Source organism: Homo sapiens, chromosome 18, assembly GCF_000001405.40.
Source record: "Homo sapiens chromosome 18, GRCh38.p14 Primary Assembly".
Lineage (NCBI taxonomy): Eukaryota > Metazoa > Chordata > Mammalia > Primates > Hominidae > Homo > Homo sapiens.
This window is the reverse complement of record NC_000018.10, coordinates 33,365,823-33,390,296: the sequence shown is the minus strand read 5'-3', so window position 1 is coordinate 33,390,296 and position 24,474 is coordinate 33,365,823. Positions and strand designations below refer to the sequence as shown.

At 36.7% G+C, this 24,474-nt stretch overlaps 1 protein-coding gene across 9 annotated transcripts in view; it reads left to right on the top strand.

Moving 5' to 3' along the window:
• CCDC178 (coiled-coil domain containing 178) overlaps nucleotides 1-24,474 on the top strand; it is a 503,635-nt gene that overhangs the window by 50,744 nt on the left and 428,417 nt on the right. For 8 of the 9 annotated variants that reach the window (NM_001371120.1, NM_198995.3, XM_011525951.2 and 5 more), the window contains exons 5-6: nucleotides 668-757; nucleotides 20,108-20,247. In NM_001371120.1, coding sequence (NP_001358049.1) covers nucleotides 668-757; nucleotides 20,108-20,247 — 230 coding nt within the window. Of the gene's footprint in view, nucleotides 1-667; nucleotides 758-20,107; nucleotides 20,248-24,474 lie in introns of those variants that run through there. The other variant, XM_017025724.2, reaches the window with a different exon arrangement.

Here is a 24,474-nt window from a genome sequence, read left to right as displayed (position 1 = left end):
TTAGCTTTATAAGAAAATGTCAAATAAATGATAATATATTTTTATGTTTTAGAATTTTGAAACACTTCCTCAGAGACTGTAAAATAAAACGTTTCCCCTCTCTCTCTACATTTTCTCTTTCTAAAAATGACAGTTTCTTAATCTAGCAATTACAAATCCTACATATCTTATTTATTTATAATTATAAATCATACATAACTTATATAGGATTTATAATTAGAAATAAATCCTACATATCAATAGTTAACATAATTAAGATATATAATAGTATATATATGTATAAAATAGTATATATATATATACACATACACATGCATATCATTTTTTAAAAAATGATGACAAAGCTTACACACAAATCTCTGCCTTGCTAATTTTCACAGTGTGTCCTGGATACATCCTATATCAACACATAATAACTTATCTGTTTGTTTTAAACAGCCTCATGCTATTTTGAATACCTTCTTATGAAAGAGTCAAACCAATTGAAGAGCATAGAGAAAATATCTGAAGATACTCTACTGTGGATTTTGATTAATATTTGTATCATAGTTGTTTTTCTTTTAAGGAGAGCACTTCTCTAACGTAGTTTTTTACATGGTGGTGCTTATTTTAAAATTTTCTATAATATTAACTACTCACTAAAATATGTATTTTTTCTTTTTAAAAGGCAATGCCATGTCTCAAAGTTTGGTTCTATATGGAGCCTCTAAGGAGAACAGTGAAGGTTTTCATGAAAGTAAAATGACAAATACTGAAGGTGAGGACTGAATGTAAATCATATAGTAAACTATATAAACTATATTTATATTATCTCATTAGTCTATAATGTCAATACTATTTCTATTTTGAAATAAATCCTACATATCGTTAATTGTTAACATAGTAAATATATATAATAGTAAAGATATAATGTAGTATATTGTATCAATAGTATATTGTTAATGTATAATCTGGGTTTATGAATTGTTATGTAATTTCAGAAATGTATGAATTTTGAAATAAATTCTTAATCACCCAAGCTGTGACTGGCCTGTTCTAGATAGAACATTTCCAGTTCATTGAGGACATGTTTCTTAGAAGAAAAAGAAAGAAGACAAATGTTTTTGGGGGTGTATTTTTCATTTTTTAAATAATTATTTTATTTTATTTTATTTTAAGTTCCAGGGTACATGTGCAGGATGTGCTGGTTTTTTACATAGGTAAACACATGCCATGGTGGTTTGCTGCACTTATCAATCCATCACCTAAGTATTAAGCCCAACATGCATTAGCTCTTTTCCCTAAGGCTTTCCCCTAACCTGCCCTCCCCCTACAGGCCCCAGTAAGTGCTCTTCCCCTCCCTATGTCCACGTGCTCTCATTGTTCAGCTCCCACTTATAAGTGAGAACATGCAGTGTTTGGTTTTCTGTTCCTGCGTTAGTTTGCTGAGGATAATGGCTTCCAGTTTCATCCATGTCCCTGCAAAGGACATGATCTCGTTCCTTTTTATGGCTGTATAATATTCTGTGGTGTAACTTTGGGAGGCCGAGGCGGGCGGATCACGAGGTCAGGAGATCGAGACCATCCCGGCTAAAACGGTGAAACCCCATCTCTACTAAAAATACAAAAAATTAGCCGGGCGTAGTGGCGGGCGCCTGTAGTCCCAGCTACTTGGGAGGCTGAGGCAGGAGAATGGCGTGAACCCGGGAGGCGGAGCTTGCAGTGAGCCGAGATCCCGCCACTGCACTCCAGCCTGGGCGACAGAGCGAGACTCCGTCTCAAAAAAAAAAAAAAAAAATTCCGTGGTGTATATGTACCACATTTTCTTTATCTAGTCTATCATTGATGGGCATTTGGGTTGATTCCATGTCTTTGCTATTGTGAATAGTGCTGCACTGAACATAACACATGCATGTATCTTTATAATAGAATGATTTATGCTCCTTAGGATGTATATCCAGTAATGCAGTTGCTGGGTCAAATGGTATTTCTGGTTCTAAATCTTTGAGGAATTGCCACACTGTCTTCCACAGTGGTTGAACTAATTTATGCTCCTACCAACAGTGTAAAAGAATTATTTCTCTGCAACGTCACTAGCATCTGTTGTTTCTTGACTTTTTAATAATTGCCATTCTGACTGGCGTGAGATGGTATCTCATTGTAGTTTTGATTTGCATTTCTCTAATGATCAGTGATGTTGAGCTTTTTTTCATATATTTGTTGGCCACATGTATGCCTTTTTCTTGAGAAGTGTCTGTTCATATCCTTTTCCCATTTTTTTAATGGGGTTGTTTGTTTATTTCTTGTAAATTTGCTTAAGTTCTTTGTAGATTTTGGATATTAGACCTTTGTCAGATGGATACATTGCAAAAATTTTCTCCCATTCTGTAGGTTGCCTGTTCACTCTGATGATACTTTCTTTTGCTATGCAGAAGCTCTGTAGTTTAATTAGATCTCATTTGTAAATTTTGGCTTTTGTTTCAAATGCTTTTGGCAATTTCATCATAAAGTCTTTCTCCATGCCTATGTCCTGAATAGTATTGCCTAGATTTTCTTCTAGAGTTTTTATAGTTTTGGGTTTTACATTTAAGTCTTTAATTAATCTTGAATTAATTTTTGTATAAGGTGTAAAGAAGGGATCCAGTCTCAGTTTTCTGCATATGGCTAGCCAGTTCTCCCAGCATCATTTATTAAATAGGTAATCGTTTCCCCATTGCTTCTTTTTGTCGAGTTTGTCGAAGATCAGATGGTTGTAGATGTGCGGTTTTCTTTCTGAGTTCTTTATTCACTTCTATTGGTCTATGTGCCTGTTTTTGTACCAGTACCATGCTGTTTTTGTTACTGTAGCCTTATAGTATAGTTTGAAATCAGGTAGCATGATACTTCCAGGTTTGTTTTATTTTTTGCTTAGGATTGTCTTGGCTATGTGAGCTTTTTTTTGGTTCTGTATGAATTTTAAAATAGTTTTTTCTAATTCTGTGATGAATGTCAATGGTAGTTTAATGGAAATAGTATTGAATCTATAAATTGCTTTGGGAACTATGGTCATTTTCAAGATATTGATTCTTCCTATCCATGAGCATGATACATTTTTCCATCTGCTTGTATCCTCTCTGATATCCTTGAGCAGTGGTTTGTAGTACTCCTTGAAGAGGCCCTTCACTTCCCTTGTTAGTTGTTTTCCCAGGTATTTTGTGGCAATTGTAAATGGGAGTTCATTTGTGATTTGGCTCTCTGCTTGTCTGTTGTTGGCATATAGGAATGCTTATGATTTCTGCACATTGATTTTGTATCCTGAGACTTTGCTAAAGTTGCTTATCAGCTTAGGAAGCTTTTGGGCTGAGTCGATGGGGTTTTCTAGATAAAGGATCATGTCATCCTCAAACAAAGACAATTTGAATTCCTCTCTTCCTATTTGAATACCCTTTATTTTTTCCCTTACGTGATTGCCCTGGCCAGAACTTCCAACACTATGTTGAATAAGAGTGGTGAGTGAGGGCATCCTTGTCTTATACCTATTTTCAAGGGGAATGCTTCCTGTTTTTGCCCATTTAGTATGATATTGACTGTGGGTTTGTGATAAATGGCTCTTATTATTTTGAGGTATGTTCCTTCAATACCTAATTTATTGAGTTCTTTACATGAAGGGATGTTGAATTTTATCAAAGGCCTTTTCTGCATCTATTGAGATAATCATGTGGTTTTTGTGTTTAGTTCTGTTTATGTGATAAATTACGTTTATTGATTTGCATATGTTGACCTTGCATCCTGGGGATGAAGGTGACTTGATCATGGTGGGTAAGCTTTTTGATGTGCTGCTATATTTGGTTTGACAGTATTTTATTGAGATTTTTGCATAGATGTTCATTAGGGCTATTGGCCTGAAGTTTTTGTTGTTGTTGTTGTTGTTTTTGTTGTTGTATCTCTGTTGTATCTCTGGTATCAGGATGATGCTGGCCTCATAAAATGAGTTAGGGAGGAGTCCCTCCTTTTCAATTGTTTGGAATAGTTTCAGAAGATATGGTACCAGCTCCTCTTTTTACCTCTGGTAGAATTCAGCTATAAATCCATCTGGATCTGGGCCTTTTTTTAGTTGGTAGGCCATTTATTACTGCCTCAATTTCAGAACTTGTTATTGGTCTATTTAGGGATTCAAATTCTTCCTGGTTCACCCCCCGACCTGGGAGGGTGTATGTGTCCAGGAATGTATCCATTTCTTGTAGATTTTCCAGTTTATTTGCATAGAGGTGTTTATAGTATTCTCTGATGGTTGTTTGTATTTCTGTGGGGTCAGTGGTGGTATCCCCCTTATCGTTTCTGATTGTTTATTTGAATCTTCTCTTTTTTAAAAATTAGTCTCACTAGCAGCCTATTTTATTGATTCTTTTAAAAAAATAGCTCCTGGATTCGTTCATGTTTTTGAAGTGATGTTTATGTGTTTATCTCTTTCAGTTCTGCTCTGAGCTTGGTGATGTCTAGTCTTCTGCTAGCTCTGGAGTTTGTTTGCTCTTTGTTCTCTAGTTCATTTAGTTGTGATGTTAGGGTGTTGATTTGAGATCTTTCTTTGATGTGGGCATTTAGTGCTATAAATTTGCCACTTAACACTGCTTTAGCTGTATCCCAGAGATTCTGATACATTGTTGCTTTGTTCTCATTTGTTTCAAAGAACTTCTTGATATCTGTCTTAATTTCATTATTTACTCCGGAGTCATTCAGGAGCAGGTTGTTCAGTTTCCATGTAGTTGTGTGGTTTTGAGTGGGCTTTTTAATCTTGAGTTCTAATTTGATTGTACTGTGGTCTGAGAGAGTGTTTGTTATGATTTCAGTTATTTTGCATTTGCTGAGGAGTGTTTTAGTTCCAATTATGTGATCAATTTTAGAGTAAGTGCCATGTGACCCTGAGAAAAATTTATATTCTGTTTTGTCTGGCGAGTTCTGTAGATATCTGTCAGGTCCACTTGGTCTAGAGCTGAGTTCAAGTCCTGGATATCTTTGTTAATTTTCTGTCTCAATGATCTGTCTAATACTGACAGTGAGTTATTAAAGTCTCCCTCTATTATTGTGTGGAGGTCTAAGTCTCTTTGTAGGTCTCTAAGAACTTGTTTTATGAATCTCAGTGCTCCTGTATTGGGTACACATATATTTAGGATAGTCAGCTCTTCTTGTTGAATTGAACCCTTTAACATTATGTAATGCCCTTCTTTGTCTGTTTTGACCTTTGTTGATTTAAAGTCTATTTTTTCAGAAACTACAATTGCAACCTCTGCATTTTTCTGCTTTCAAATTTGCTTGGTAAATTTTCCTCCTTCCCTTTGTTTCAAGTCTATGTGCATCTTTGCATGTGAGATGTGTTTCTTGAATACAGCACACTGATGGGTTCCATCTTTGTATCCAGCTTGCCATTCTGTGTTTTTTAATTGGGGCGTTTAGGCTATTTATATTTAAGGTTAATATTGTTATGTGTGAATTTGATCCTGTCATCATGGCGCTGGCTGGTTAATTTTGCAAACTTGTTAATATAGTTGCTTCATAGAGTTGTTGGTCTGTGTACTTCAGTGTGTTTTCGTAGTGGATGATAATGGTTTTTCCTATCTATGTTTAGTGTTTCCTTCAGAAGCTCTTGCAAGGCAGACCTGCTGTTCACAAAATTCCTCAGCAGTTGCTTGTCTAAAAAAGATTTTATTTCTCCTTCACTTATGAAGCTTAGTTTGGCCTGATATGAAATTCTGGGTTGGAATTTCTTCTCTTTCAGAATGTTGAATGTTGGCCCCCAATCTCTTCTGGCTTTTAGGGTTTCCATGGAGAGGTACGCGGTTAGTCTGATGGGTTGCCCTTTGTAGACGACCTTGCCTTTCTCTCTGGCTGCCCTTAACATTTTTTCCTTGATTTTGACCTTGGAGAATCTGATGATTATGTGTCTTGGGGATAAATCTTCTCAGAATATCTTGCTGGAGTTCTCTGGATTTCCTGAATTTGAAAATTGGCCTGTCTTGCTAGATTGGGGAAGTTCTCCTGGATGGTGTCCTGAAGTATGTTTTCCAACTTGGTTCCATTCTCCCCATCTCTTTCGGGTACTCTAATCAGTCATAGATTTGGTCTCTTTACATAATCCCATAGTTCTCAGAGGTTTTGTTTGTTTTATTTCATTCTTTTTTATCTAATCTTGTTTGTCTGCCTTATTTCTGCAAGATAGTCTTCAAGCTCTGATATTCTCTCTTCTGCTTGATCGATTCAGCTATTGATACTTACGTTTGCATCATGAAGTTCCCGTGCTGTGTTTTTCAGCTCCATCAGGTCATTTATATTCCTCTCTAAACTGGTTATTCGAGTTAACAGCTCCTGTAATCTTTTATCATGGTTCTTAGCTTCTTTGCATTGTGTTAGAACATAATCCTTTAGCTCAGCGAAATTCATTATTACCCACCTTGTGAAGCCTACTTCTGTTAGTTCATCCATCTCAGCTTCGGCCCCATTCTGTGCCCTTGCTGCAGAAGTGTTGTGATTATTTGGAGGAGAATAGGCATTCCAGCTTTGAGAATTTTCAGTGTTTTTGCATTGGCTTTTCTTCATCTTCATGGATTTATCTACCATTGATCTTTGAGGCTGATAACCTTTGGTGGGGATTTTGTGGGGTCTTTTTTGTTGATGTTGTTGTTTTTGCTTTTTGTTTGTTGTTTTTCATCTAATAGTCAGGCCCCTCTTATGCAGGTCTGCTGCAGTTTGCTAGGTGTCCACTCCAGACTCTGTTTGCCTGGGTAGCACCAGTGGAGGATGCAGAATAGCAAAGATTGCTTCCTGCTCTTTCCTCTGGAAGCTTTGTCCCAGAGGGGCACTGACCTGATGCCACCGAGAACTCTCCTGTATGAGGTGTCTGGCAACCCTAGTTGGGAGGTCTCACCCAGTCAGGAGGCATGGGGGTCAAGGAACCACTTGAGGGGGTCATCTGTCCCTTAGTGGAGCTGGTGCATTATGTTGGGGGAATCCCCCTTGTCAGGATCAGCTGATCTCTTCAGAGCTGCCAGGAAGGAAATATTAAGTCCACTGAACCTGAGACCACAGCCACCCCTTCCCCAAGGTGCTCTTTCCCAGGGAAATGATAGTTCTGTCTGTAAGCCCCTGACTGGTGCTGGACCTCCTGCAGAGAGGCCCTGTCCATGCCCAGTGAGGAGGGATCTAAAGAAGCAGTCTGGCCACAGCTGCTTTGCTGCACTGTGGGGAATTCCACCCAGTCCAACTGTCCTCATCTCCTTAGCACTGTTAGGGGAAAACAGCCTACTAAAGCCACAGAAATGGCAGTCATCCCTCCCCGCTATCCCCTCCCCCTGCCCCTGCCTCCTGGGAACTCAGTCATCCCAGGGCAACTCCAGACTGTTGTGCTGGCAGTGGGAATTTCAGGCCAGTGGTTCTCAGCTTGCTGGGCACCGTGGAAGTGGGACCTGCCAAGCAAGACTGCTGGCTCCCTGGCTTCAGCCCCCTTTCCATGTGAGTGGATGGTTCTCCTGTCTCACTGGAGTTCCAGGTGCTGGTGGAGTATGTAAAAACTCCTGCAGCCCAGTGCCTGCCCAAACAGTCACCCAGTTTTGTGCTTGAGACCCAGGGCCCTGGTGGTGTAGGCTCACGGGGGAATCTCCTCATCTGTGGATTGCAAAAATCCGTAGGAAAAGTGTAGTACCCCCGCTGGGTAGCACATTCCCTCACCACTTCCTTTGGCATGGGGAGGGAGGTCACCTCACCCACTGCAGTTCCCAGGTGAAGCAACACTCCACCCTGCTTCTGCTCACTGTCCGTGGGTCACACCCACTGCCTAGTCAGTCACGATGAGATGAACTGGGTACCTCAGTTGGAAATGCAGAAATCACCCACCTTCCATGTTGGTCTTGCTGGGAGCTGTAAATTCCAAGATGGCTGTTTCTATTCAGCCATCTTGGCTCCTGTCAATTGGATGCGTACTTTTTAGTTCCAGAATTAAAGACTTGTACAGTGAGAATCTATAAACATTATCTCTGAAAGTGTTTCTAACACTCAATGTGGAAAGTGGTGGAAAGAGATGAGGAAATGTATACATATATCTATTGGGGTTCATACTTATTTCTTTTTAGGTCATTCTGGTGAAGAACTCTTTATCAAAAATTTTAATCTTGATTTTGAGAAATTACTACTCTGGGAATTTTTCAATTTTATGAGATTAAATTGAAATAAGTTACCATTTTGATTCTTTCATCTGTGTATGTCCAGTGGAAATCTTGAATACAAGTTTAAGATCTTGACTTAGAGTTTACTGCCCATAGTGAATTTTGAACAGATTTATAAGACGGCAAATAAGTGACTTATGAACCAATTAATTCAAGATACTGGAATATCTATGTGCTATTGTGGTACAGAGATATTTAAGAAACAACCCTCACAAAAAGTGTAAAATCTTGTAGGCCAAATAAAATATATGAAGGATAATCCTAAATTGAAAAAAAAAATAGAATATAAATGTATACAACAATTTTTACAATACAACATAAAATAATAGTTACATAGTGTATCAGCGGAGATGACACAAGGAAGTACGTGCCAAATGAACACCATGGATGACAGATATCTTCAATATTTTGACTAAGACCAATTTGCATGGTCTGCAAGCATTAAGAAAAAGGTTAATGGATCAGGAGAGATTTGAAATGAATTTTAAAGAATGCATTTGTATATGGAAAAAAAAGGTGAGGATAAAATTTAAGAAAGTAGAATAGAATGTGTCAACAGTGAGAAAATAACACAAGATTTAGGAAGCATAGATGTATCTGTCTATAGCATAGGGAGAATTCAGAAATGTGAAGATGGTTCAGAGAAAGGTAGAAATGACTGAGGTGCAATTAAGAAGGATTTTGAATTTCAGGCTCAAGACTATTAACTTCATTTCTCGGTCTCTGGTTATATATATATAAAACCAGAGTAGGGAAGTTACTGACTAAATTCTTTGCTTACAAAGTCTGAGCATGCAACACAGAATTATTTGGCTACAGGAATTGTCTGGCTATTGTGGTGGAGTGGGGCCCTCTCTGCTCCATACCCAGCTGGCTCTCCAGGCACTTAGAAACTGATTTTCTTATTACTATTGTTCAGGCTTATTGTAACAAGGTCCTGATCTAATTAAGATCAATGAATACGAAAGAGATTAGAGACATATTACAAAATAAGTGTTAAGATTTGGTGACTGACTAGTACTTACAGGGACTGACTATTCTCTCTATATTAATGTAGGAACTTGAATGAGAAGGTGGAGGATTCAGATGTGATTTAACTGTTCCAAACTTTCATAACTGCAACAGAGATGTAAAAAGAAAAGAGGTTAAATGGAGGGAAGATGAGTTTAGTTTTACAGATAGTAGACGTGCCTCGATGTGTGAATGAAGTTGGTCCCTTTAAGACTATCTCTGGCTTGTTGGCCTTGACTAAATCCGAATGTTTAAAACCAAATAAAGTTGTTGCTTTTTCTTCAAGATGGCAGATGAGAGGCTCTTAGCATGCCTTGGCCACTTGGAAAAAGCAAGATAGTGCATAAAGATCAACTCTCTGAGCGTTAATTCAAGAAGGAATATGAGAATCCACCAGAATGTGAAGGACATTCCAATTCCCAGGGAAGAGAATGCAGGCTAACAGCCTCCATGATGGCATCTGGGTGTTAAAAGTGAGTGAAACTCCAGTACACAGGAGAGTCAGAAAGGCTCCCTCTGTGATTTACCTTTCCACTAGGGATCTGAGCAACCCAGGCTGAAGGAGCACACTTTGTTTCCCCCAAGCCCTGGAGCTAACTTGGAAAGAGGCATAGAGACACTGTGAGGGAAAGACACTGGGAAAAGCTACAGGTACTTTCTTAGACTCAGCACTGAGAGCAGGAGGCCATTTTTAATCTGGGTGCACACAAACTCAGCCATTCTTTGGTGACCCAGCAACGTGTCTGCACAGGCACGTTAGTCTCAGACCAGAAATTAGAGTACTGCTTTGCTTTCTGTGGAGCAGGATATGTGCCTCTACAGCCAGAAATGTGGAAAGTGCTTAATTAGTAGGTGCTGGAATTGTATTCTCCCTCATCACAGGCCGGGGGCAGGAGCAGAGCTACCACAGTCCAGCTTCTCCTGGGTGATGAGACTTGCAATCACGATCAGCTTGGCAACCTGGGACTAGTTGCATCTATCTGTGCTGGGTGCCCCATCCTGATCTCCTGAGACTGTGGTGCAGCAGGACCCTCTGCACTCCACCCCCAGATAGAAATCCAGTCATTCAGAGTACCCACTTACCTGGACCAGCAGCCTAAGCTGGCCTTCTCTTTATAGATATACATTGTGGTACAGTGGGGCCCTCTCTGCTCCACACCCAGCCAGTTCTCCAGGCATTCAAAATACACCCTCACCTGGATTAGCAGCCTGAGTTGTACTACCCTTCCCATGCATAGATCATGGTGCAGTAGGGCTCTCACTACTCTGCACATAGGCAGATCTCCAGGCATTTGGAGCACCCACTCACCTGGAACAGCAGCCTGATCCACCCTACCTTTCTTGTGCAGAGATCTTGTTGTTTGGGGGTTCACTTTGCTCCATGCAAAGGCAGATCTTCAGACATCTGGAACACCCAATCACCTAGAGTTGGAGTTTAAGCCACCCTCCATCACCTTGCGGAGAACTTAGGAATGAGGATGTTTCCTGCTCCCTGTCTAGGCACACCTCTGGGTACCTAGAGGCTGCCTATTGGATTCTCCCTCAGTTCTAGTGCTTATTCTGGCCACTGGGGGACCTATAGGTGGACCTGCCAGAGTGTCCTGCCCATCTAGAGGGAACTCAGACTGTATACTCCAGGAATCATCCTATTGCATAAAGCAAAAAAAGAGCTTCTCCCAGTAAACAAGAATCAAGTGTATACCCAGCAACGTTGGCCACAGCTGGCTGCCACGCATAAGTGGCATCTATTGGCTTGTAGGTTGAATTGCACAGCCTAATAGAAAACCTGCTAACAGAGGTGCATAGCGCTATAGAACCAAAACCAAAAGACCCTACACACCATTCTCTACAATCACACTCCTAGGGAGGGGATTAGGGAAATGGAAAGATATATATATATATGGAAATATATATATATTATATATATGGAAATATATATATTATATATATGGAAATATATATATTATATATATATGGAAATATATATATTATATATATATGGAAATATATATATATACGGCAAAGAAATAAAAAGAAAAAATCCTACCTGCATGAAAATATTTACAAAATTTAGAGTTGCCAGCATCTCCAGATGAGAAGAAACTAATCCTACTGAAACTATTACAAAATATCAAAGTGGAAAGACTCCTCCCAAACTAATTCTACAAAGCCAACATCACCCTGATACCAAAACCTTGCAAAGACACAATGAAAAAAGAAAACAACAGGCCAATATCCTTGATGAACATAAATACTAAAATCCTCAACAAAATACTAGCAAACTGAATCCAGCAGCACATCAAAAAGTTAATTCACCATGATCAAGTAAGGCTTTATTCCTGGGATGCAAGTTTGGTTCAACATATACAAATCAATAAAGTAATTCACCACATAAGTTGAATTAAAAACAAAAACATTATGATCATCTCAATAGATGTCGAAAAACCTTTTGATAAAATCCAACATCACTTCATGATAAAAATGTTCAAGAAACAGGGCATAAAATGAATATACCTCAAAATAATGAGAGCCATCTATGACAGACCCACAGCCAGCATCATACTGAATGAGCAAAACTGGAAGCATTCCCCTTTAGAACTGGAAGAAGATGAGCATGCCCATTCTGACTACTATTCAACATAGTATTGGAAGTCCTTGCCATAGCAATCAGGTGAGAGAAAGAAATAAAAGGCATCCAAACAGGAAGATGTCAAAAAGAAGTCATTGTCCCTTTGCTGACAATATGATTGTATACCTAGAAAACCCTAAAGACCCTACCAAAAGGCTTCTAGAACTCATAAGCAGTAAAATTTCACAGTACAAAATTAATGTACAAAATTCAGCAGCAATTCTGTATACCAAGAATGTTCACGCTGAAAGCCAAATCAAGAATGCAGTTCCATTTCCAATAGTCACAAAATAATAAAGTATCTAAGAATGCCTCTAACCAGGAGGTGAAAGCTCTCTACAGGGAGAACTACAAAACACTGCTGAAAGAAATCATAGATGACACAGACAAATGGAAAAATATTCCGTGCTCATGGATTGAAAGAATCAATGCCGATTAAATGGCCGTATGGCTCAAAGCAATCTACATATTCAACGCTATTTCTATAAAGTTACCAATGTCATTTTTTACAGAACTGGAAAAAGAACTATTTTAAAATTCATACAGAACCAAAGAAGAACTGAAACAGTCTAAGCAATTCTAACCAAAAAGAACAAAGCTGGAGGCATCATTGTACCTGTCTTTATACTACATGGCTACAGTAACTAAAACAGCATGGTCCTGGTACAAAAATGGATATATAGATCAATGGAAAAGAATGGAGAACCTAGAAGTAAAACCTCACACCTGCATCCATCTCATTTTTGTCAAAGTCAACAAACATAAGCAATGGGGAAAGCATTCCCTATTCAGTAAATGGTGCTGAGACAGCTAGCTAGCCATAGGCAGAAGATTGAAATTGGACCCCTCCCTTTCACCGTATACAAAAATTAACTTAAAATAGACTAATGATTTAAATGTAAGACCTCAAACAAATGATAAGAATCCTAAAAGAGAACCTAGGAAACACCATTCTGGGTATCAGTCTTGGGAGAGAATTTGTGACTAAGTCCTGAAAAGCAATTACAACAAAACAAAACATTGACAAGTGGGATTTAATTAATCTAAAAGTCTTTTGGACAGCAAAAGAAACTATCAACAGAGTAAACAGGCAACCTACAGAATGGGAGAAAATATTCACAAACTATGCATCTGACAAAAGCCTAATATCCCAAATCTCTAAGGAACTTAAAAAAATTTACAAGCTTAAAACAACCCTATTAAGAAGTGGGCAAAAGACATAAACACTTTTCAAAAGAAAACATACACATGGCCAACAAGCATGTGAAAAAATGTTCAACATCACTAATCATTAGAGAAATGCAAATGAAAACCACAATGAGATAGCATCTCATACCAGTCAGAATGGCTATTACTAAAAAGCCAAAAACAACAGATGCTGACAACTCTGCAGAGAAAAGAGAATTGTTATACACTGTTGGTGGGAATGTAAATTAGTTTAGCCACTATGGAAAGCAGTTTTGAGATTTGTCTAATAACTAAGAGCTGAACTAGCATTCAACCCAGCAATCCTGTTGCTGGATATATATCCAAAAGAAAATAAATCATTCTACCAAAAAGACAACGCACTCATTTGTTCATCACAGCATTATTTGCAATAGCAAAGACATAGAATCAATCTAGGTGTCCATCAATGGTGGATTGGATAAAGAAAATGTGGTGCATATACACCATGAAATACTATACTGCCATAAAAAAGAATGAAATCAAGTTATCTGCAGCAACATGGATGCAACTGGAAGCCATTATCCTAAGTAGGTTAGCACAGGAACAGAAAACCAAATATTTCACGTTCTCACTTATAAGTGGGAGCTAAACAATGGGTACTCATGGACATAAAGATGGCATCAATAGACACTAGGGATTACTATAGGGAGGAGAGAGGGAGGGGGCCAAAGGTTAAAAAACTAACCATTATGTACTATGCTCAATACCTGGGTGACAGAAGCAATCATACCCCAAACCTCAGCATTACACCATATACCTGTGTAACAAACCTGCATATGCATTCCCTGAATCTAAAATGAAAGTCAAAATTATAAAAAAGGAAAACAAGAATCCAAACAGATTGGGGACAGAGGGAAGGCTAATTAAAAGTTTTATTTTGGAACATCTTTACTTTCTTATCATTTTGTTACAGTAGGTAGCCTCTCAGGTATGAGCAGGGCAAAAAAGGGCTCTCCCCTCCTGCTCACGCCCTCCCCGCCCCTCCCCCAACACACCAGGAGTGTTGGGTGACCATCAGGTGATGGTCAAGCAGTTGTTAACTGTTTATCTAAAGTAATAACTGCTCACAGCCAGTGCCAGAGAAAGGCAGTCTCCTAATAGAAAACACCTTAAACTCATCAGCAGCTTCCAGATAAAATCTCAGGAGTGGGGAGAAGTAATGCAGTATCTTGGAAGTATGCCAACGTATAAAAACCCAAGTCCATAAGTCAAGCTGCGCACTTGGTTTCTCAAGTCACCCGCTTGGCCGTTATCCAAGTTGTACTTTTCTTCTTTTCTTTCCTTCCTTTCCTTACTGTCCTAAAGCTTTTTAATAAAACTTTCACTCCTGTTCTGAAATTTGCCTTGGTCTGTCCTTCTGCCTTATGCTTCTCAGTCAAATTATTTTGTCTGAGGAGGCAAGAATTGAAGTTGCTGTGGACCAGTACAGATTTGCCACCAGTAACTTGGATACCTTCCACTAATAACAGTTCTTTTACTTTTCAAATCATTTCTGAGGATCCTCTGTACCAGGCATCATTTTCACTGCTTGTACTGTATCAGATCTCTTCCATCTTGAAGCTCCCATGGATGCCTCCTTTATCCCTTCCAGCTCTATGTCTGATCATACAAATGTGTCCCTTTTCTTCCGTAGCCTTTCTGCTTTGGCATTTTAATTTACTGTTGTGAATGTATTTCCTTGTTTGTGGTATATCAACTTCTCAATGGGTACATTTTAGTTTTATCTATCATGCTTCTCCCATTCTGCATAGGATTCTGCAGGCCCAGACCTCCCTTCCTTACTCTCAATGCCAGGATGGGAGTCTAGGAAGGACAGATTTGGGAAATTTGTACATTTTTGCAAGGAGCTCAGGGCAAGGTTAAGTCTAAAGCTGTTTAGTTAAGAGTTAAGCACTTAAAGGAGATGATCAAAGGAGAAAGTGTAGAGGAAAAGATTATTTCTTATCAAATAGTCATATTTAAGGAATATGAGAAAAAATAGGTGAACAGGAAGCTAGAGAAAGTTATTAAAAGAACATTTCAAGGAAGGACTGTCTACAATGTTTTTTAGTATAAAAAGTTAAAGTAGGAGAACGATACAAGGTTATTGAGTTCTGCCACTAGGATATGCTTAGTGGTCTTTTTTATAAAACAGATATATGGAGGTACAATTTAAATGCAATACAATCCACTCATTTACAGTGTATAAGTGAATGACTTTTGACAAACACACACATCCATTTAACCACCACCCCAAACACTGTATAGAAATTTCCATCTTTCCAGAAAGTTCATTCGTGCCCCCTCTACAGACAAGATTACTTTAACTCACTCCCACAACTCCAGTATGATTTTAGTTTTACCACTGTAACATTTCAAATAAATGAAATTATGCCACTTGTACTCCTTTGTGCCCAACTTTTTCAGACTCAGGAAAATGTCTGTAATATTCATCCATGCTGTTTCATATATCAGTAGTTTGTTCATTTTTATTGATCAATACCATTCCCTTGTATAATATTGCACAATTTATTTAGCCTTTAATGGAAATTTGAGATTTTTTCAATTTTTGACTATCATCAAGAAAGCTATTATGAACATTCACCTACAATTCTTTTTGTGGACATATTTTTATTTGTCATGGGGAAATATAAAGAAGAGGAATGCTGAGTAATATGGTAAGTTTAACTTTTATAAGAAATTGCCAAATTGTTTTCCAAAGTGTTTAAACAATTTTACATTTCCACTAGCAATGTATAAATTCTAGTTGTTCTATATCCTCTCTGATACTGGGCATTGCAAACCTTTATAATTTTAGGCATTATAGTGTGTGTGTGAAGTTGTATTGAACTGTTAGTTAAATGTGCATTTTCTTGATGACTATGACTAATGATGTTAAGCATCTTTTCACATTGCAATAGTCATTTGTATATTGTCTTTTGTGAAGAGTCCAAGTCTTATGCCTATTTTCTGAATATTAAGTTGTGAATTTTCTCTGCACATTCTGGGTAGAAGTTATTGGTCAGGGATTCTATGCCATATGTCAGAGGGGCCTCCCACGTGGGTTTCTGAGGCTCTTCTCTGCATTGCTCTGTCTTCTTGAGTTCCTGCCCTCTTCCAGATGTTTCCACTGTCCACGAAACTCATATTTACTTTTCAACTCAGCGGGATCACTGTGCTCTGTTTTTCTCCCAGATCTCTTTATTGCAGTTGGGAAACTGTCCCTTGGCAGAGAGCTTGGTGATTGTGGGACTCCACCTTATCAATTTCCCTTTTCTCAGAAATGAAAACCTTGAACTGCCCATTTTTCAAAGTCCAAAATCAGTTGTCTCATATTTTAAAATCCAGATTTAGAGTTGCTTATAACTGGAGAACTAATTCCACATCAGTTACTCCTTCATGGATGGTAGTTGATATACTGCTTAGTGGGATGTAAGAATGAATTTTTCATGGAGAGAACAAAAATCAGATTACAGCCAGGTAAAAAGTTTAAAAAATGATAGAGGATTTGTTTATTCATTTATTCAATAATTATTTAAGGCACTTAATATTGTTCTCTGGAAAGAACTTCATGGGGAAGATAGATAGGAAAACATAAATGTGATAACAGCAGAGTGCAATGTGATCCATTCTTATAAAGAGAAATGAAAAGTGCTATAGCTGCACTCAAATGTCTGAAAGAGCTGAGTATTCCGCACAGGCAAGGAACCTTGTAAGATGGATCTTAATATTTGTATATAAATTGTAATTTGAAGAAGAGATCAGATGAGGATATTGCAGCTGCCAGTATAAACAGTTCATTCAAAAAATTGCTAGTGAAAGCAAAATTTGATATAGAATAATAGCTATAGGAAGTGGTCAGGCAAGGTAGTGGGGAGACCTGTGAGCATACAAGGCAAGTAAAAAAAAATTGTATTGAAGTTGTAGATTTTGAAGAGAAGAAAATGGCAGTAAGTGAACACCAAACAGCGGCATTGCACATTGACTAAAGTTAGAGTAGAAGCAGTTTTTAGCCACTTCTGACTCTGAGAGTCCATGTGTATTATTCTAGATATTTAGTGATAAGTGTCTCCAACAGTTTAAGGTCCAATGAAAATGTGATAACTCTAATGTCAGTGAAAGGTGTTTTTATTTTTCTCATGTATAACAAAAGCTAAAGAGATCTTTGTTTTCCATAAAAGATTAAAGATGCTTTATGTTCATCATGAAAGAGTCTTTGCATGGAGGACAAATTATTTTTAACCTCAAGAGCACTGACTTATGTTACATTTTGGAAAGAAAATCAAGATGTTAAAAGGGATAACAATGTGAAAAGGAAATATGCCTTCAGCAGAGTTTTTCCTAAGCGTTCTGAGTTGAGATAAAGGGATGATAGAATAATTGGGGTAACGTACATAAAGGAAGTGCATATACAAAGCAGAAGAAAAGGAAGGACTCTTGTGATAAAATGTTGAATTATTGGAGCTGGGTGAATAAATTATATAAGGATCAAATTCATTGAGCAGTAAGAGTTGAAAGTTTATAAACATAGTCTTTCTATTTCATTTGCCCACACAAACAACTAGTTGATATTTTTTCTCAAATGGAAGTTTCATGTTGCAGAGTCTCAGCAAACCTCAACTCTGGCTTGGAGCCAGGAGGATCTTGTCTTTTATGCATTAATTCTGGGCAAGGAAGTTGGAGTCAGGGGCATGTTTAGAGAGGATGAAAGTCTCGCCGAGCTTAATTCTTAATATACTCACACTGACCATTTGTGCACAGGCTTCACAAGGAGGAGCTCCCTCGATTTATGTTTGGAATTTTAGGTGAAAAATATCTTATATAACATCCTACCAATACATTAATTTATTAAATAAGAAATCTGAGACCTAAAGACTGAATCATTTTAGCTAAAGATGTGCAGCTAGTTATCAGTTCAGTCAAGAAAATACAGACACCTAGTTCAGCTGTCTTTTGATTATATCATGCTGTCACCCTAAACTGAGTAGAATTCTTAAAAACTGAAAGTTTTAACTTATGCCATGCTTGCAATGAAATAAAAAGAGTAACATGAACCACTGAATTTTGGTTCAATCTTGTGCTACTTAGGATGTCATGTCTTTTACAGATTTTAGTGCAAATTTAAGTTCATAGTACGTGATTCCCATTACTTTACCATATGTTACATATTCAACCTAAACCATAGGAGTGCTATGGAAATTATTAGTATTCACAAAATAGGTTGAGAGTGGCACAGTCAAGAAAAATATAAAAGGAATCATTACTATTCTTGTTTTCACCAAATTTAATGAAGCAAAACAAATGTTTTGACTGTAACAGTGACTGCTTGTTTGTTAAATGTGTATCAAAACCTTCTTATTTCTAAAGGGAGGGCCAACATGCCCTTATCAAGATATTTGGATAGGAGATCAATATGCAATTTTTACTAGATTGTTCTTTTGGTCTTTTGACTATTACATATGTGTGTGTGTGTGTGTGTGTGTGTGTGTGTGTGTATATATGTTTATGAACTAAAGAGGAAAGATGGACTGTAACATACAAAAAATAGTTATAGCAAGTATATGTGTTCAGAGTATGGTCAAAGCAAACTAAAAGACATAGGATACCAGCACTGATATTATGAAGGAGCATTCAAAATGTAAAAACAAGCAAAACATTCAGGATGCCCTGAAATATATTTTTAGTACTGTTTCTCTTTATTTTGCCATACTTTTAAAATATAAAAACAGCCTTCACAGCTTATACTCCATAACCAGGGAGATTTAGTTCAAGTCTCAGTTCTCCTACCTACCTGTTCCGTAGACTTAGACAAGTTATATAATTTATTTAAGCCTTGATTTCCTCATCTATGAAATCAAGATAATAATCCCATTTTATAAGATTGTTGTGGGGATTAAAAAAATGTGGCATCAAAAATTTTTAGCTTAGCTTTATGTCTGGCACATATTTTTAGTGCTCATAAAAAGGTCATTTATATATATATACACATATATACACACACACACATATATGAGAGAGAGTCGAACATTGTAGAATAGACTGAACACTTTTATTTATAAATGAAACATGCCATTTTTACAAGAGATTGTGTTTCTAGAGGAAGATATTATAAGGCTTCATTTAAAAGATATTTAAAAGATTGCAGTTTAAATGAAGATACCAAAAATATTTACCATCTCTGTGGGTTGGCATTGAAACAAAACGCAACAGGATTATTTCTCTGTTCCCTCAAGGTCAATTGAAATGAGGACATCACACTGTTCTCATTGAGGCGCTGAGCATATTTTGTGTCTCCCATTTAAGATCAGTGATTGCAACTATAATCCAGCCCAATAGAGTCCTTAGAGTCAAAAGGACTGCAAGTAAGCACTTTGGTGGAGTTTCATGGACAACTTTGCTGTGCTTCTGCAACCTTCAGTCGATTTGGGACATGCTAGGATTAGAATCACTGAGGCACATCGGACTGAGTGGATTTTATGATGAGTACAGCTTGAATACTATAGTGAGAACATTAATCACTCTTCGTATGAGACTCCAATTTTCAGAAATGGAAGGTAGAAAATGAGGTTATTATGAGGATGAAGGAGACCTGCTTTTATTTTTTTCAGCAAGAGAAACTCATGCTGGATTTAAGGAAGAACTTCAATGCATGAGTAGTTGGATATTATTTACATTGAAAGAGAGCATCTCTTTGAAGGGAATATTTAAAATATATTTCAAAGTTATTTTTAAGAGATTCAGAATCTGTTTAGTAACACATGGGTCAACTGTTTTTTCTGCCTTTTTTTCCTTCATTTTTTCCTATGTTTAGTTCACAATGCTATGTTTTTCAACTTTGCTTGAAGTTTTATTTTGGCTTCTCGGGTTCATTTTTATTTGTTACAGAATTAAATCATAAATGATTATTTTATTTTAGCTTGTACGTTTTTTAAAGATTTGTTCTATAATTTTCTGACAGATTTCTCAGCCTCTCTATTAAGGAAACTAAGAGTATTAGCACTAATAAAGCAGAATTTTTTTGCTTATTCTGAACATCAAAATTTACTACTTTGTATAGAATGAGTAATGAACTTCTATTTGTTCTCTTTAGGGGTGAATAAAGGCATTTACTTTAGCTACCCATGTCGACGTCACAGCTGTGCCGTAGTAAATATTCCAGCACCTTGTGTCAACAAAATGATTTCACACATCCAAGATGTGGAGTCCAAAATACAGGAGCATTTGAAAAGGGTAAGAGACTAATTTAAAATGCTGATATTTTGGTAAGCTTTATCGACCCTCTAAGGATTGGTTATTTAAAGAACCCAGGAAACTCTGGACTTTTTAAATGATAATTGGAATGCTTTTTAAGAATCTTTGCTCAGTTGCATCATTTACTAGTCTAGACATGTTTTTGATAGTCTCACTCCAGAAGGGTGAAACGACCTTATTAAATCGATGTTTTTTTCCCTACCTGTTTGTTCTTTATCCAGAGGCAATCATGCTAAGTAGTAATTTCCATAAGCCAACTTCACTAGTAAATTAAGTAGTATTTACATACTTTTTGGGACACTAAACTGATTAGATGATTAAATTGGTGTATAAAAGGACAGTGTGCCCTTTTTAATGAGTTGTTTTATTCTAAAGAAATGCTTAATAGTTCTATTGAAAAGGAATATAATGATTCTATGTCTTTTTAACCTGTTAAAAGTTTGCCTTTATTATTCTGAAGGGAGTTCAATCTTGAAAGGCAATTATTTTCAAAGGATGATTTAAGAATGACAAAAAATACCACTTCTCATACCTTTTATTAAGATTATATTTCTGAACAACTAATGCAGAATTAGACTGCTCAAATGGGAGATCAATTTTCCAGAGACCTGTGCTATTTTTTTTTTCTCTCCACTGTTACTGGATCTGGCTCAGCAAACATTCTGATGGGCCACTTACAATTCTCAGTCTAGGATGTCACCTCTTTTGTTAGAGATCATTAGAGTACAGTCTTCAAGATTGCAGGCTTTAGAGTGACCTTAGATGGGAATGAAGAGATAGTGATACTATATTAGAACAAGTACCAGCAAATGATATGCACTCAATATATATTTGTCACTGTTACTTCTATATTATTTATATCATTCTATATCAGCATTGTGTTACCTTTGTTGTTTCTATATTTCTCCAAATCAGATTACCCCTTCAGGAAATGCTTTATAGGTCACAGGACTGATGGTGTCCTGGGCTTTGAAGACTATGGCAAGGAAATAAAGAGCAGAAATTAATATTTGTTGCTATGATATGCTATATACTTCCTATGAGTTTTAATTAACAATTACCCATGTTGTTAAAAATGATAAAAATCATAGGTATTTTAATAAATAATTATAACAACTACCACTTATTAAAATGGTATAATGGTATTTTAATAAATAATTAAAACAGGTATTTTAATAAATAATTATAACAGCTACCATTGATTAAAAAACTAATATAAGTCAGACATTATGTTTTACTACATCATTGCTCTTAGACCTTACAAAACTATTGAATGGTTATTGTTATACCTAATTGATAGATAGGGAAATAGTAGTTTAAAACAATTCAGCAACTTGTTCAAGCTCACAAGGCAGAATTGGGATTCACACACCCTCTGTCTGTTTTCAAAGCCCATATTCTTTCCTGAATCCGACTTGGTGCTCTGAACAGTTGATAAACTGTTAGATACTATGGATAATAGGGCAGGTAAAATATTACCTTAGATAAAATAGTTTACAAAATGAGCCAAGATATTTTATATCTTATCTTTAAAAAAACTGAAAAAAAGAGCTATTCTCATGTAAATATATTGAAAAACCTCAAAAAAGGAGAAGCACCAGAGCTGACTTCTTTACTCTTGTCTTCTGGGGCCTAGATTAGTGCCAGATAAATAGTAGGCACTCAATAACTGTCTGTTGAATAAAAAAGTAAATGAAGATCTAAAACAGAACCTTTCTATTCTGCATACATCTGAGGCACCTATCCACTCCATATGGTAATGGTGATTTATGTACCTAACCTCTCCTATTTTCTAGACATTTAATAAATATTTATTGTTTTGCCCTTTATAGAAATTCTACTGTACAGATGAGAATTCTAGGGCATAGAGAAGTCAAATACCTTATATGTACACATCACACAGGTAGTGAGCACTACAGTTGGAATTTGTACTTAGTTCCATCTGACTCCAAAGTCCATTCAACCTCTGTTTTATATCCTTGGAGAGAACTTAATTCTCATTTAGGAGAATATTAGTTGATACTTTGAGAAGAAACACACAATAACAATGATAGAAAAGTACACTTCTAGACAAAAATTTCAATAATGATAATTCTTTGTTTATGAATAAATAAATACGAGTTTTATCTGAAAGGAGATTCATTATGAAATAAATGCTAATGACAAACTTTCTGTTAATTTTCAAGGTTATTTTGTAGATTTTCTATTTTCTATATTTAAAAATTATCTTATTTTGTTTTATTATTGACTGTGCAGTTAGATTTGCTAGTGTTGAACTGGTAAATAGAACATAAGTACTATGTTTGGTGCAATGATGAGGACTCTCCATTAGATATTTAGTTCAAATCTATGCAGTATTTGAACTAATATTTTAAGAATGAACTGGTGGTCAGCTATCCTTTTGAAAGATGAAAAAATTTTTTCTGACTAACCTATCACAATAAGAAAAAAATCTTCCCATTATCACATGGAAAAAGTGATAATATTACCAAAAAATGTTGGTAATATTAGACAACCTTACATTGACATAGGAACTTAAATTTCCTCAAAAATAAAATTAAGCAGGCACAACTGGAAAGAACTCTTTGAAAGATAGCTTCTGATATTTTGAAATCAAAGCTAATAGCATCTAATATTTCCAAATAAGTAAATAAAGATCATAATTCAGAATTAACCTAAGCATAAATCCTCACGTCACATAAAATGAGTTATGTGTGTAAGAAATATTTAAAATGGCAATCCTCCATCTATTCTCTATATTCATGAGTTCAATTGTTTGGATTTTTAGATCCCACAAGAAAGTGAGAACATGTGATGCTTGTCTTTCTGTGCCTGCTTGTTTCACATTGCATGCCTGGATCAAAACATCACACATTCCCCATAAATATATACACCTACTATGTACCCACAAAAATTACAAATGGAGAAAATTTTTTAAATATTTAAAATGAATAATTACCTGCAGAAAATACTAAATATGAATGTGCGCTGGGTGCATTTTTCCTCCAGAATGTCTGAGGGAAATGCAGAAAAGGGATATTTCTTCTCAACATTTTTGCCACTTAACATTTTACCCAGTAAAGTTGTCAACTGACTGTAACTTTGAGAGGAAGTGGAACATTTTTCTGTCTGTAAATGTATCTGTATATACATATATGTGAATATATATTCATTCATCACCTACAGTCCCAGGCCCGTCTGATAACGTATCTGGTGCTGGGAGAACAACAGGACCACCCTTTCACCAGTTTCCAGGGGTTAGGCAGAGGGCAAAGCAAGGCAGAGGAACAATGCTTGGTGATGATCAGCTGGAGCCTTCACCCCAGTTACATATAATATGTAGTCATCTGTGATTATCATAATGGTTATACAACTCTGTAAATACATTAAAAACCACGGATTTGTATACATTGGTGAACTCTAAGCTATGTAAATTATCTCACTAAAGCTATTATTATATCTGTATATATACATCTCCATCATGAATTGCACAAAATTCTTATTTTGAGTTGTAGATCATCTGAATTCCTTTGGGTTTTAATGTTAGAGGTCAAAGCAAGCAACTGGTTTAATTATCTCTCTAAATTACCCATTATCTCATGTCTTATGACTCTAATTGTTACAAAAGTTTGGTGCAATGATGAGGAAGGACAGGCTGGCCAATGAAGGGCCCAGCAACAAGCAAAAGAGAAAGGGGTATTTGCCAAGTGTAAGTTTATTTAAACCCCTCCTGCTGAGGTCTCACTATGCTGGCCCTGCTCGTCTTGAACTGCTGGCCTCAAACAATCCTCCCTCCTCAGCCTCCCAAAAGGTTAGGATTACAGGCATGAGCTACCACCTGAGGCCCATTAGATAAAATTCTATAAGTAATTATAAAGCTTACATCTACCCTGGGTATAACGTACACTGAATGAGTAAAAGATCAGTCTTTTACAATTTTCTGTCCACAGTGATTTCCAATGTAGTCAGAACACTCTGGACGCCTGTGGTTAGCAGCAACGCATCTGCCACGGACTTTTCTATCCACTCCAGTTTAAGTGCAATTTGAATCTCCACTGAAAAACTCTTCAGAGTGGAGTTACTATGAGAATTTTCCCCATATTTTGTTTTTGCAAAGAATCTGGAAACATCACACAATGATAAAAATAATCATCTGAATATCTTCTCATACAAATAAAAGACTCTTGTTTTATTTTTTTCCTCTAC